The sequence below is a fragment of the Homo sapiens genome, chromosome 2, assembly GCF_000001405.40.
Source record: "Homo sapiens chromosome 2, GRCh38.p14 Primary Assembly".
In the NCBI taxonomy this organism is placed as follows: Eukaryota; Metazoa; Chordata; class Mammalia; order Primates; family Hominidae; genus Homo; species Homo sapiens.
Window position 1 is genome coordinate 187459387 of NC_000002.12, and position 16262 is coordinate 187475648.

The 16262-nt window shown below is 33.6% G+C and overlaps 1 protein-coding gene and 1 long non-coding RNA gene across 13 annotated transcripts in view, besides 2 other annotated features; one reads left to right on the forward strand and one right to left on the reverse strand.

The window, feature by feature from the left end:
- Positions 1-16262, forward strand: part of CALCRL-AS1 (CALCRL and TFPI antisense RNA 1) — a 544253-nt gene that overhangs the window by 456114 nt on the left and 71877 nt on the right. The window lies entirely within an intron of this gene.
- Positions 1242-1442: a silencer, noted in NCBI's record as "peak3983 fragment used in MPRA reporter construct". NCBI's record gives its function as "represses an SCP1 promoter by STARR-seq MPRAs in K562 erythroleukemia cells {active_cell/tissue: K562}" and the evidence as "EXISTENCE:reporter gene assay evidence [ECO:0000049][PMID:32103011]".
- Positions 4844-16262, reverse strand: part of TFPI (tissue factor pathway inhibitor) — a 90206-nt gene continuing 78787 nt past the window's right edge. For all 10 annotated transcript variants that reach the window (NM_006287.6, NM_001329240.2, NM_001329241.2 and 7 more), the window contains 2 exons: positions 8367-8546; positions 4844-7656 (listed from right to left, as the gene is read on the reverse strand). In NM_006287.6, coding sequence (NP_006278.1) covers positions 7550-7656; positions 8367-8546 — 287 coding nt within the window. In that variant the 3' untranslated portion in view covers positions 4844-7549. The remainder of the gene's footprint in view (positions 7657-8366; positions 8547-16262) is intronic.
- Positions 5502-5702: a silencer, noted in NCBI's record as "peak3984 fragment used in MPRA reporter construct". NCBI's record gives its function as "represses an SCP1 promoter by STARR-seq MPRAs in K562 erythroleukemia cells {active_cell/tissue: K562}" and the evidence as "EXISTENCE:reporter gene assay evidence [ECO:0000049][PMID:32103011]".

The following is a 16262-nucleotide window of genomic DNA, read 5'->3' on the forward strand; positions in this document are numbered from 1 at the left end:
TTTAGGTAGCTCACAGCTGTTCACATCTTGAAACTCTGGAAATTTCCCTAGAGTGACTTACAAATTTTGTGGAACATTCTGTTGAGAGTGGGGAATATGTTTTAAAAAAAAATACTGTTGGAAAGTCAAAGTTCTTGCTTTCTGATTCCAAAAACTGACTAACAAGAAGGAAGTAGCAGTTTCCTCTGGCTTCTAATTTAAGAACACCTGCAGCTTAGAAAAAGAGTTCAGTAAATTAGAATTATGCCCCTTGTGCAAATACAGATTAAATATGGATTAAGTCCCTAAAGAAATTCAAGTTCATAATTGAGTTGGCTGATTTTATCTTGTAATGAAAAAGAATAGCAAATCATCAACAATGTTGACAGGAATGAGTTGATTTTGGCTACAATTAGGATTTGTCTAAAACTTAGAATAAATTGTTGATTGAGATAAAACATTTTGGTACTAGAAAAATCTAATTCTAGTTAATTATTCTTAATTAAATTTGGCTTGCTTTTTTAGAATACTTAAGAGACAAAAACGGTCTAAAAATTATTTCAAAACTTCTCATGAGGTTGAAACGCCTTGATGAGTAGTATAAATCAGATCCACATATATTATTTTCCCTACGATATATATAATATTGAGAAAGAAAAAGTTAATGGATTCAGAAATGTTTTTTGATTATAAAACCCATTATTAAGGCATTCAGAAAATCCCACAGTATGTGGGACCTCCTGTAAGGTAATTACTTGGAAGCTTCTCATAAAATCTTTTGATGTTTGGGAATTAATCAGGCACTGGAAAAGGAAATTGTAGGTATAGTCAGTTTGAAGATGTCAAGCTCCATCAGCATAGGCTATTTTTGAAGAATATAGAAGACTACTGTACATAACAACCTTATGCTGGGGGGGGTATGGATATTGCTAACAGTAGAATCCGGCCAATGTTGATTTTTATTTTTTAATCACAGAACATCTCTCCATTTTTTTTTGGCTTAACATATGTTGGTATTAGATACTTTTAAATAGAGAGTATTGCCATAAAATCTTAAAATTACCCAAACCAAAAAACTTGTTTATATAACCAGTCTAGTCCAAAACACTCATTCTAAATATAAGTAAATATGGGGCCAGAGAAATTAGATGGTCAAAAAAATTCATCCACTAGGTTAGTACTGGTACTAGAAACAGTATCTCTTAGTTTATATTCTAAAACTTTTTCCCAAAGCCTCTTTCCCATCTTTCAGCAAAGCACTACACACACATAATTGAAAGATAAGTTAGTACAAACAGACTTCTAGCAAGTAAATAGCCATTCTCCATCCCTCAGACTTCTACATTCAACTGTCTTGTGGCTTCCTTCCATTACTGTCATGGAAATATACAATTCCTTTTTATTTCTATTTCTTTGTATGTGACTTATCCCTCCACAGTCTCCTGTTCTTAGGACTTTTCTCTTCGTTACTAGAATTTGAAATTTCATGTGTGTGCAGAGGGGGTATGTCAGGCGGTTACCCTTTGTTGGGTACAACACACCATTTCAGTGAAGGGAATCTCTGTTATTCTTTTTCTGTAAGATGTCTCTCCCCTCTATTTATCTCTGCTATTTTCCAGATCCTTTTGACACTTCAAGGTAGGGCACCTGAACTAATTGCGAAATTTTATCTTTTCTATCTTCTTTTCCATCCTAATGACCTCTTCTTTCCAAAGCTTAGAGATTTTTTTTTTTAACTTTATCTTCTATTTCTTGATTTTAAAAAACCATTTATTTCATTTTAATTACCAAGAGTTTCTTTCTTATAACCTAGTGTTATCATTGGCTGATTTCTCTGTGAATACTAATTATAGAAGTTACAACAAACAGGAAAATATTTAGCTCCATTTATGTACTTCAATAACATATTTGAATTTTCAATATAAGATTTTTTTATCTAAAAGTTTTTAAAATCATCTTTTGTGGGATTTACTGTTGGGCAAATTAGGGTTTCTGTTCTATTGTGGCTAGTACATTTTTCCTAGTGTACAGAAATGCTATTGATTTTGATACAGGAGTGCTGGGAAGGGACGAGCATGGTCCCTTTAAATGATACCGAACGGGGGACAGGGAAGTGCTGGGTAGAGCAAGGCCGGTTCCTGGCTAGGGCTTCACCCTCTGGCTTGTGCCCACGAACCTAGGTGAGGACAGGCACTCCTGCCTTTGGGCCCAAATGTTGCATTTTCCAAAACCACCCTGGCCCACCACACCCCCATCCTGGGCGGATAAAAACTGAGACCCTAGCAGGCAGATAGATACACAAGCGTCTGGACGTCCAGAGGAGGGGATCAGCGGAAGAAGACACAAGCAGCCGGACATCGAGAGGATGTCGAGGGGAGCATGCCAGTGGAAGAGCACATGACAGACACTGGCAGGACAGCAGGCCATTGACTGGAGGAACGATGTGGAGTTTAGCGAGATCAGGAGGAGGAGAGCACGGGCCGCTAAGCAGAGGGACCCCTGGTGCATCTCCCATCTGGCTCCCCCATCTGCTGAGAACTACTTCTACTCAGTAAAACCTCGGACTCATTCTCCAAGCCCTCGCGTGATCTGGTTCTTCCGGTACACCACGGCAGGAAACCCTGGGATACAGAAATCCCTCCGTCCTTGTGGTAAGTAAGCGGGTCTATGAGCTGGTTAACACAAGCCTGTAGACGGCAAAACTAAAAGAGCACCCTGTAACACACGCCCACTGGGGCTTCAGGAGCTGTAAACATCCACCTCTAGTCACTGCCGTGGGGTTAGAGCCCCATGGACTGTTTGTCTGTATGCTCCCCTAGAGGTTTGAGCAGCCGGGCACTGAAGAAGCAAGCCCCTCCCCCATCACATGTCCCTTTCCGGATCTGGGAACTTTTCCCATTTCAATTTCGTATGTTCAACTTTCATATAGCAACCTTGCTAAACTCCAGTATTATTTATTTCTAATTGTTGTGCTTCAGATTATCTTGAATTTTCAATTATGATAAGCATATTATATAACTAAAATATAATGTAATATTTATATCTAATTTCTGTTCCTTGCCTTTTTGCATTAGTTATGAATTAAGATTGCTTGACTGTTGCATAGCACAGGTAGTGGACTTTAGTGGAAATGTTCTTAAAATTTTAACACAGCGTCATGCTATTGTATGTTTTTGGTTGATATCCATCCTCATATTATCAGGTATCTTTTTTAGTTTGCTAAAAGTTTTAATCATTAAACAAGCATTAACTTTCATTAAAGGATTTTTCTTTCTCCATTGATAATAATAATTTACCTTATAGTATTTTTATTATATTAAACAATAGTTAAATTTGAAATATTTTACATTTACTAAAAATTATTAGTATTACTAGTTTTTCCTTTTGCCTTAGATTCCAATATGACTTGGTTATTGATCCTGTCTTTTTAAATTCTGATATTTTATTTATCATGGATGTTTGCTATAATTTTAATTTTTTAAACATGTTGCATTACCATATTATTTATCTTGGTTACTGAGATTTTTTAACGTTCCCTTAAATGTTGTGCCTGAAGAGATTACCTCACTTGCCTCACTCTAGTCCCAGCCCTGCTAGTCAGATTACAAGTTTCAGATAGTGTTTACACGAGAAAGATATTTAGGAGTGGACTTGTGAATCAACATGGTCAATCAGACAGTCATATCTCTCTAAACAAGATGTTAGGTTCAAAGGTGACCTAAGACATTTGGGTCAATGAGCGCGAAGCCAGGACTTTAACTCAATTCTCTGAGGTAGGAGAATCCAAAAATTTTTAGAAGACTTTACCCTGAAAAGATGTGGACCTTAAATTCTGAAAGTCATATTGAAACCTTGTGCAACTAGAAAATAAAGGCAGAATATATTGAGCAGCAGAATCATGAGCCAAAGATAGACTGAGTTTTATTGACCTAATATGCGACCCTGAATCTATCTATACTAAAATCAAATTCCTCTGGTCTTTTCAGTTTTGTGATTCAAATATATCTCTGTTTTATTTCAAACTGATTGGGCTAGAAATTTTACAATCTGTGGCTGAATTGATGAGGAAATCATATTCATTGTCCTAATGCTCCATTTTATTTATTATAAGGTTAAAGTCTCTCTCTGTCTCCCTTTTCCTGGTACAATAAATTACCATGCACCTACTATCTAAATATTTCTTATATTTATAAGTACTCTGAGTAATTCTAACCAAGAAACTAGCTATGTGGTTGTAAGTAGTTCAGAAACTGGACCTGCAGGACCAACAAAAGCAAGGTTTTCTGTTCTACCTAGCAAAATGTGGGGAAAGTGATTAAAGTACATCCCAGCCAAAGTCCCTGAGAAAGCACTTAAAGTCAAAAGTTGGAAACACTAAATAAAATTGCTAATTTGCTAAAAACCAGGTAAGAGCAGGAGCCGCTGATGACAGAATCAACCAACAGCCTAGTTAGCTAGTTTAGTGTCATGATTTTTTTTCTTCTGATATAGAGATGGGCTAGGCCAAATACAATAGCCAGGATAGGAAGTTATGTAATGTATAGTTATATAACATATATTTAAATATACATGTCTATATTCATACAATTGTATATGAAATGAGTGATGAAAATATATATGTAGCAGAGTAAATTTTAAATGTATAGATTGTTAGGACATAGTGTACTAATTTGTTTGACAAATAAATTATAATATATGGGTGTGTACTTGCAATTAAAAGGCAGCTATTAACAATTCCAATTTAAGGAAATAAAACCAGAGTGTGGGAACAATCATTTTTGGTCTTAAGATTTTGTACCGTTATGATAACTAATGAGCATTGAATTCTTTATGTACTAAAATCTTTACGAGTACAACAGCCAGGTTTCATTATTCAGAATAATATATTTTACTTCTTATAATGTAAAAAATATAATCGTTTGAGTGGTTTTCAGCATGATCTGTTAATTTTGAATACAGAGAATGAACAAAGCAGGTAAATATATGTATATGCTGAATAATGTAATTCCATATACAATTCACAGTTAGATGCACTTAATTGTGGAAAATAAAGGAAGACAATAACATCAAGATCTTTTTCCAAAACACGGTAAAAATAACGTTCACATGCATTAAACATTTCAAGCCATCTCAGTATATGTCTTTCTTGAGTAAGTAGTGAACCAATGGACCAGTGGTTATTGTTGGAGAAAACAATTAGGCAACTCATCAATGCGCTATTTATACAATCTTAGTGACTATTTACCACTTCACCTAAGTAGACTTTCCCACTCATTTGAAGCTATTGCTATCTATAAATAAATGGCAACAGGAAATGTTTCACAAGGGCCTTTGATTTCCAAAACTCTCAAATTCCACAGCAAAGACTCAATTTAAGGCAATTATTTATGCACTGAATATTTGAATGAAGATGTATTATTTTCCTTAAGTGAAAAAAGCTGATACTATTTTGTAATGATAAAATTTGTATACCATAGTAGAAAATGATTTGCAATTATGTGTTAGGACTTTTCATATTCCATATTGAAACATAGTGATTCTGTAGCTGGCATCAGCTGTACCCTGACTTCACATGAATGGCCTGGAGGGGATCATATTTTTAAACAGGAAATCAGTGTGAATTAGCTGAGTAATTAACATTCAGTGTACAGTGAGCATTCTTAACTAAATCAAAGTAGTCATGAAAGAAAGTACTGTTGGTAAATCCAAAAACATACATCAAAATTAAATGGTGAGGTTGAAGGTTGTAGTTAAGTACCAACTAGTGTGAGTTCTGGGAGCATTTTGAAATGGTGGAGGAATGTACTAAATTTCTGAGGAATTAATACTGATGGGAAGGATGCAGTAAAGAGTAAAAACGGGGGCATTGTGGTTTATACCTGTAATCCCAGCACTTTGGGAGGCTGGGGCTGGAAGATTGCTTGAGCCCAGGTGTTCAAGACAAGCCTAGGTAACGTGGTGAAACTCGTCTCTACAAAAATTACATAAATTAGCTGGTGTGGTGGCCTGCACCTCTAGTCCCAGCTAGGTGGGAGGTTTCAGTGTCCTGTGATTGCACCACTGCACTCCAGCCTGGGTGACAGAGTGGGACCCTGTCTAAAAAAACATAACAAAACAAAACAAAATGAAAAAAAAAAAAAAACAAGAAAAAAGAAAAGAAAAAGAAAAAAGTAAAAAGCCTAGGGATTGGGTGAACTTTTTCGAAAAAAAAAAAAAAAAGCATAAAGATTTGGAGACTGTTTAGATGTGGTATATGAGGGAAAACAGGAAATCTAAATTGAGTTCAAAATTTCAATCCTGAAGAACAGGCAGAATTATACTATCATTGTTAGCGAGAAGTCATGAAGCTATTCATGAAGCTATTCATGAAGCTAGTCATGAAGCTAGTCATACCAAATGAATGAAATGGTTGTTTCTAAATCAGTTCCAATTCCAGTGTCAGATTTGAGGTGAACACTACAGAAACTGACATGTCTTGGAGGTTGTTGAGGTTGTTGAGGTTGTTGAGATGCCAGACTGCACATGGCTCAGCAATAAATGAAAGATACAGGTCTGGATATAGTGAATTAACTCCAGCAAAATATTAAATCCCCAAGAATGACTAGCACATGAATTTTCTAGTAGACTCTTCCCTGCTGATAATTTTCTCTTCAACAGAAATAACCTACTTTTTAAAGCATGAATTATTAGTTGCATTGTGTGCAAATCCTAATGATAACTGAATAGATTTCAGAAGGTTTAAATATTTTTGTTATTTTTAGTAAGAAAAAATATTGGGAAGCATAGTATTAAGAAGTACATATAAATAATTCCCTCTCGATTGCCATAAAACTTCTTGTTTCCATAAAGGTTCTCCTTATCATGAGTTGTATTTAACACACAATTATTCAGTCATCTTGACTGATAGAATGGGCTATGGTCAAACAAAAAAAAAAGTGAAACCAATCCAAATCAGGCAGGCACATGATGCAGAGTTGACTGTTCAAAGACAGTTTAGCTCAATATAGATGGAAGTACTGGTTAGTACAAAAGGAGAAAAACTATGTCTAAGGAGGGAAGCACATAATAGAATTCTATTATTACAATAGAATACTATAAATACAAAATTGGATAAACTTTATCAGAAGCAGGTGTTTGTCACCATTTTATATGTGAAACTCAGGAAGTTCTTGATTTTTTAAGAGCTGTATTCCTTAATCTGGTTACAGGCTATAAAGGAGATAATCATTTACATGATCATATTCTCAAACAGATGGTCACCAAATGGAATCAAAGGACTGATTTGATGTAGCCGGTAGTATGATAATTTGTAGTTAAATGAAAATACAGATAGATCCAGAAAATAAGTAATTTCCCAGTAGCCAGTTAATAAATTACAGACCTAGAATAAGCAATTTAACAAGATTAGAAAAGCAACTCTGATACAAACGTGTTGATAACAAGTACAATAAGCATAGAAAATTTAATGAACATATTAATTAAAAGCATTTTAGAAGAAAAATAGAAAATCATAGTGAAACATTTCATATAAAATATTTAGTAGAATTAATGTTACATTGCTATAACAAATTCACATATTTTTAACAAAAATTTCTTCATATGCTATTTTCACTCTCTGCTTCTTTCTTTTTCTTTTGGTTTTAATTAGGCCTCCTTTTGATATTCTTTGGATGAAACCTATAAGAGGAAGAGGAATAAATTAATGTGTGATAAAATAACACAATGAAATGTTTTATCTAAAATCTTCTCAAAGTAACTTTTAATATTTAAATCCAAAAGATGTTATTGATTTAAAAGCCTTTAATTTGTCCATGTATTCGTGTAGAACAATTTATTTTTAAGGACGTTACTTTGCATATATGAGTTAATAAAAATGGATAAGCATGCCGTTCATTTTTATTATTAGTTCCTCTTCTGTTACAAATCCATGCTTGCTTTATTTTTAAATAGTAGAAATGTGGTTGTATGTGGTTGATTAAGTTACAGATAGTTTTTATTTGCATTTTTATACTCTTCTTAGTCTTTTATAAACATGCATTACTTTTATATTCAGAAGACATTAATAAATATGTTAAAATTTTGTGCATTACAAGAAAGCTTAAAACAATTTTGGTATAGTCTTTTAAAGTGAATGCTTAGTATTTGAACACTAAAAGAATAACATGTTTAATTTGTTTTAAATTGATTCTTTTTCTATGAGGACATTAAAAGAAATTACAGTTACATATCTAGCAATATTATCTAAATGTAATTGAAGAGGACATTTATTAGCTAGATTATACTTTCTTATAATAAAGATAATTAATTTCATATCTTAATAGATTATCATTTCAATTCAATTGCTATCTTAAACACTAGTCAATTAATGGGAAGAGTATCTTCTATACCTTTTTTACATGCCCTCAGACATTCTTGTTTGGAAGTAAAATTGTTTTCATTTCCCCCACATCCACTGTACTTAAATGGGCGGCATTTCCCAATGACTGAATTGTAGTAGAATCTGTTCTCATTGGCACGACACAATCCTCTGTCTGCTGGAGTGAGACACCATGAGGGACCGTGAAATTCTAAAAACAATCAGGAAAACATGGTAAGCCATATGTGATAGTGGATTTCAGGTTTTCGTATTGTATATTGTTTATAGATTAATGTTGTTGCATGTGTATGTAAAACAGTAATCTGAATAAAGGGGTATTTAATAAAATTCGTGCATTTCAATTCTAGGAAAATGCTTAACAAAACCATGTGTCCAGTATATTGAGATCTTTCTCCAATGAATTAAAAAATCTCATTTGCTAAAGAGAAGTGTTATGATTACTCTTTATATGAACAAACTATTTGTACATAATAAAAACCACTCTTCAACAATGTAACTGCTGAAAATTTCTTACAGACACACACACACACACACACACACACACACACATCACACATATATATTAATTTACATATCATTTGTTCACAAATATTTGGCTTTAAAAAATTCTAATGAGCAAAGTTTTTATTTGTGATGTAACAAAAACACTGAAGCTGAGGAAGAGTTACTTCTCTTGACTAAGCACATGCTGACTGATGTAATACAAGCACAGTTTAAAGTGGAGGAATTCAGGTATGGCAAGTTTTAAGTTTCAAGGAATGAGTCCAGATGAGTTGTTTGTCTTGGTAGCATTTTTTTTCTCATATTTGAAGCTTAGTTCTAGATGAGTTAAATGTTTTTGCAAAGGAAGCAAATTGATTTGGATCAGACAGATAAGCTGGTTTGTCAATGGGATCAATCAATGGTTTTCAAAAACAGAAGAGAAAAATACAATTAGGGTAATAAAAGGAGCACTCATTTGCCAAATCAAAAGAGAAATTAGTTTCAGCTGAATGTTAGTTTTTAGCTCTCTGGGAATTACTGTCAGTGAGGGGCACCGAGTACTCTTCGGTAGCACAGCTAAACTGCTTGATGTTAATAAACCAGTACTACAGGTAAGTTGTATGGCAAGGAATCAATACAAGAAAACTTTAATGGCTTTGTCAAATGGTGAGATGTGATACAAGCAAATACAGAGGAGGAAGATTTGCTAAATGTCCAATATTAGCAGAAAATAGAACTTTGAGGAATCCAGTAGTTAATGAAGGTGAATAGATTGTGCTTTAAGCAAGAAGCAGTCTTTTGGCAAATAAACCCCAGATGAACAGACTGTAAAAGAAAAGAAATAAAACAAAGTGAGAAAAAAATGAAAAAAAATCTCAAATTGATATAAACATTTTTTACCACCTCCTGCCTTCTAGATATTTAAATAAGGACTAGAGTGTCTTGATATAGTAACTCAGGTAATAAAAAATATTCTGGGAAATATGAGAGGGAATGAATACTGTGAGAATAATTTATGAGAAGAAATTTGAGACAGGTGATATTTTTGTGCCAAACTATATCAATAAGATATCAGAACTATAATCAAATAAAGAGTATTTAGTTTTACTTAGGTCTTTGACTAGGTATATATGCAGTGATTTTAAGAAGACCTTCTAGGATTTGTAAAATGAAAACATCGTTTTAAATCATATGTAGCCCTTTATGTTTTACCTTCTCCTATGTGGGGATTATAGTGCGTGATTTTTAAAATAATTTTTATTGTGTATATGTGAGGTTTACAAAATGATGTTATGGGATACATATAGATAGTAAAATAGTTGCTGTAGTGAAGCAGATTAACATACCCATCTTCTCACAGTTACATTTTTGTGTGTGTGACAAGGGTAGCTAAAATCTACTTATATAACAGAAATCCCTAACACAATACTGTTTTACTAACTGTCATCTTCATGTTGTACATTAGATCTCTAGGCTTATTTATCCTACATGCCTGTATTTTGTATCCTTTGACATGATGATATGCCATCATAAATCAAAGTTGAATGGTGAGAATGTGTGCTAGACATTCTAGAAAATGTTGACATTTCCTGTCACTAAGAATCATTTATATTAGAGGAATTTTCTAGCAGTCTAGGAGAGTTATATTGTAATTGATTTGTACTATTGTACACACTTTTCCAATGTGTGGGATGTGTATTATCATCATCCTTGCACAGTGTAGAATATAAAATGATTATTAATTGCCACCACTTTGATCTCATGAGCTTCCAGTTATCACCTATGTTCAGAAACAAAAGAGATGCACTAGATGCAATTAACCTAATTTGAGAAACAGAGAAAACAGGAAATTACTATCGCTTTTTTTCCTGTTTAAACACCCACAGTAACTTCGAAATAGATGTGTATGATAAAATGATATATGACTTATACATCAATTTCACTTTAGCATTTTGTATGTAAGATATATCTGCCCACAGTAAGTTGCAGATAATATGTGTGAATGTGGTTGTAAGTTGTATCCTTCTTTGCAAATGTTAGTTGTTACGTCTAAATAGCAATGCCAGACATCAAGCCCCCTTATTCCAGAACAGAGAAAATTTTCTGATGACAGGGAGCAAACTTCTTCTCTTTTCCCACATACAACCTATAGTAAACATGGCCCAATCATAAAATCAAGGTTATTTCAAAATGGGAAAAAGCTAGGCTAGTACATATGGGGCTACAGTCCCTAGATTGGACGTATGAGAAGAGGAGCCTCTGTTATCATAGACCAAGAACAGCAGGTGAATCCTAGAACCATTTGGGCCTTTCCATTGAAGCTGAAACCATGGAAGATACACCACAGATGTGGTGGAGAGACATATGCTAGCTTCAGTCTTCCTTTGACTATCCAGTCATCCAACAAGGCCTGCCATTTACCAAATCCTTTCAGAAGCCAGAGGAGAAAGTTCCCCATAAAACCACATGAGCAGGGGATTGGTTTGAGAGCAAACAGACAGTTGACCAGCATAGATGCCAGCAGAGAAAACTTCACTAAATTATCCAAGGCATCAGATTGCCTCTACTGACACTCTTTATGACTTCTGAATCAGAGGGTGTCTGGCATGCTGCTTCTGACAGCCTGGGATTTGGTATGCAGATGCACCTATAATCAGATACTTGCTCCTACTTGTCCATGACTGATGCAATGTCAGTTGTTTATCTATCTTACTTTGCCCTGATTTCAACCACTGCTTACGCAGATCATTCAACACAACAGAGTTTTGACCCAGATCAACAGTGAGGTTCCTAACACTAGAAATGGCAATATTTCGATAGTGCATTAAAATGTGAAGTTAATCACTAAGGATATTGTATTATGTGTAATTAACTTTTAGAGGTTTTTAAAGATGCAATAAATTATTGTCAGTTAAGGAATCATTATAAGGCGGTTATTCTTCAGAACATAAATTTTACCTAATACGTAAACTAATTCATTTATCTTAAGATCATTTTAACTCTGAGCAGTAAGACTATCATTGGGTTACTATACCATAAATGACAGTAAAATTAAAGTAATGAAGCAAATGGTTTCTTAAGAACATTTTAGTTCCATTTGAATTTTTTTCACTTCTTGAAGAGAAAAACTTCATTGTTTCCAAATAGCAAATTTATTCTACATATAGATCAGCACTCATCTATTCAAAATCCAGAATTTGCTATCTACAATGAAAGAAAATATAAAGGTTTTGCGAAATGTAATTTTTTTAGTTGAGATTATAATTATTGACAGAAAGTTAAGATAGAATAAAAAGACACTAACCTGACTTTTGTTGTTTTTCCAAAGGGAATTTAATAATCAAATGCATTCTGTCTTGATTCTGCCATTAATAACCAGTTGTGTACCTTCTGTCTACAGGGTTTTTGATAGGTTTCAGAATTCAGGGTACACTTTTTTTTTTAAATCAGGAACTATCATGATCTAGTGTGACTGCTGAACTGTAAGATGGTGCTCTAAACTCAGTTTTACAGGTAAAGTTGTTAATGTAAATTTGCTTTGAGATTTGTACAGTAAACTTTGAATCATATATTCACTTTGAATCTTTACTGTGGTATCTTTTTTATGATTCCCATTTGGCTTGCCTACTTAGGCTTTTGTTTTACTAAACAAACTAGGTTTTAAGAAATATCTTACAACTTGTTAAGTACATTTATTTTATTCTTCTAAGACTTTTTAGGGAATTGAATAACAAATCTTTTTTAAAGTTTTTTTCTCTATAATTTTGTAGTAAAGAGAAATATAAATTATTTACTGCAAATTATCTTTGTAAAACTTTGAAATAATATAAAAGTATAACAAATGTAAAACAAAATTTATCCATAATTTGATTCTTGCCCTTTAACCACTACCAATGGTTTACATATCTCCAAATTGTTTGCATATTCAAATGTATTAATATAATATTCTATATTACTATACTTGATAATATTTTGTGGCTGTGTCTCCACATTTTTATATAGGCCTCACTCTTTTTAATGTAGGTACAGTATTTCATTTTATGAGTTGACTACAGTATATTTAGTCAAATGGACATATGGATTATTATAATTTATTTTTTTCAGTACCAGACAGTGGCTCATGAACACCCATGTACACTGGTTCAGGTGCTTCCAGAGGACATACTTCTAAAATTAGAATTATGCAAAATCTATATTCAATTTATAACTTGGTAGATGTTGCTGAATTTTCCACTGAAACTTTTCACAAATTTATATGCCTACAACGACATTTAAAGTGCCTAAACCATTTAGCAAACCATGGACCTTACTGCTATGAATTTATCTCCTATTCAACACTTTTTTCTTCCCCATGCCAACAAAAGTAGAAGAGTACTATGTGGGACAAGAAACTGCTTATAGCTTGCCAAATGTTATATGAAATATCATTTATATGAAATCCAAATGTCATTAATTTGAAGATGCACTATTATTTTATGTACTATTCATAAACAAAGAAAGACACGGCCAGGCGTGGTGGCTCACACCTGTAATCCCAGCACTTTGGGAGGCCGAGGTGAGTGGATCACCTGAGGTCCAGAGTTTGAGACCAGCCTGACCAACTAGGTGAAACCCTGTCTCTACTAAGAATACAAAAATTAGCTGGGCGTGGTGGCACACGCATGTGGTCCCAGCTACTAGGGAGGCTGAGGCAGGAGAATCACTTGAACTCCGGAGGTGGAGGTTGCAAGTGAGCTGAGATTGAGCCACTGCACTTCAGCCTGGGTAACAGAACAAGACTCCATCTCGAAAAAAAAAGAAAGAAAAACATAATTACACTGTTATACACTATCAGTTATAAGTTTCATCATCATTAGAATCATGTTAAAAGGTAGAAAAACCTGCATGTTAGAATCAAGAAAATATAATAATTTATATTTTGTACCAACACACAATACATACATATATATACAAGCACATATAAATGAGAATAGAATTTATATATGTATCCATTGGGCAAATATTTAAGAGGACATGCAATCAGTTGGGAGGATGATTACTATAGAGATAGCTTTATTAGGTAGGGAGCTTAGAGATTTGCTAGGTTAAATTTTACAAAAAGATACTTTTATGCTGAGCTTATTCTATATTGTTCGGGCTCCTCCAGCAGCTACTTCCAGTCTTGAACTTTATTTACTTTGTGGTAAGTTGAAAAAAAATACAAGAAAATAGTAAATGAGATATGCTAGAATGCCAACAGTGATTGTTTCTGCATAATGTGGATATGGCCAGTTTTTCTTCTTTTATTTTCTTTTTTATTCAAATTCTTTGCAATCATAATGCTCAAGATATATGATAGAAATAATATGTTAGAGTGAGTCCAGTGTCCTGAGGTAATAGATAAAAGCCTAGAGATTAGAGATTGGAATCTGTTTCTGAGTAGGAATGTGTGGTAAACTTGTCCCTCTCTCTGTAAAAAAGAAAGAGTATGTATCTCTATTCATTAATCAGGAGAAGTGGTATTAAATTGGTGGAAAGTGATATTCTATAAAGAAAAAAAAAACGGGGAAGGGAATGGAAAAACAAGCACTGTGGAGCTTTTTTTTTTCCCCCCGCATGTGTATACTGGGCCACTTACCTGAGGATAAAGTATAGAAGGAGGGTTGCCAGTGAACTTAAAATTGAAAGGTCATAAAGAATAGACTGAGTGAAAACCTGCCCAGACAGAAACTCCCTCCACATATTAAGAGGGAAGGAAATAAATTGGGTAGATGTTCTCTGGGTTGGATTTCATTGCCTAGATACTGCGTAATCCATGGACAGAGTCCATAAAGTCATGTTTCTTCAGGGATTTGTCTAAGCAAGGCCACAAAGAAAGAAAGCCATGGTAAAATTATAGATTATACAGCTATTGAGTATACTTTATTCTAAGATAATTATATCTTATAATGCATTAGAAAAACTTTCTTCATGACATATATGTAAAATTTTAAGCCCTACAAAATTTTAGTAAAAGTAAAAAATTAACATTTAGTCTGTTGATCAGCTTTTTAGGAAGAATGGGATTTTAGTAAGCAGAGAATACAGAGAAGCATATGGGTGAAGGAAAGTGAAAACACAAAGGTCAGAATGTTTCTGGTTTGCTTGGGGGTACTTCGCAAACTCCAGGCTATCTGGAGAACATAACACAAAAAAGAGTATAGTGGGATACAAGGCTGGAAAATTACATTTAGGTCAAATTAAGAAGATTCTTGAATACTATTATATTTAGATTTTTATAATGCAGACATTAAAGAGCCACTGAAATTATTGAATAATGAAAATACAAGTTCTGATCTTGTTGAATACATGAAGCAAACTCAACCAGGCATGCTTAGGTTGAATCCAGTAACTTCTAATAGAGAAGAATATAAAATTACCACAACCGAAGCAGTTACCATGGGAGTAGCTAAAATTAAGCACCAGATTGAATTTGGGCAGGTAGAGAGCTAGAGATGAAATAATTCTAGTGTTTCTACATTCAGAAGATGTAATACTTGTCTAACATGTTATGAAACATTATAGAATAAATTCTACTTATAATAGTTGTAATTTTTGTAAATTTTGGTGGCTTTTATTCATTGTGGCTTTACTTAGAAAAATATCTGAATATAAAGAGGAAATTGTAGACTATGTCCATGGGTTAGCCAGCATCCAGGCAAACGAGTTTGAAGTGGAAGATGAAGATAGAGCTCAAGTTTTGAGAAGATAGAATATTTTAATTATGACATTGTTTAATGAATGTAAAATGTTATTGTGACTCTGTTCTCCCGTAACCCTTGTGCAGGTCTCTGTCTTAGCACGTAACACAGGCATTGAAGTCACCTATTTATTTATCTTCTTCCCTATTTGACAAAAACACCTATAAAGGACAAACTTACACTTTTATTATTCTCATACTCCCAGTACCTATGGTAGTCCCGTGTAGGAGACACTCAATGTTTGCTGAAATGAACTGAAATTAGGAAGTACACAGATCTGTACCTTAGGTCATAAGATAAAGTTGAAAATATAGGTGTATATGTCCTTCAATTAGTTATAAGATCCAAAGACAAAAAATATGTATAATTATGTTTGAATTTTCAAGTGCTATATATGTTATTTCAAAGAAACTTAGAATAAAATTTGTTAAATGAAGATATGTCAGATCAAGGTTACAGACTTTAGCTTCATTAAAAATGATCAATAACAAAATGTATACAAATAGTACTCATTTTTTGACTATAAACCTCGGATGAAAATAGGTCGTCATCATCATCATTGAAAACAACCTCAAAAATTAATACTTTGTGCTTTAATTGTGTGCTCAACAACTGGGTTAAGAATTTTATGTCTCATTACAGTTTTCCAAAAGTTTTGAGATACTTCTTGCCACATAGAACAAATGAGGAACCTGAAGCCAAGC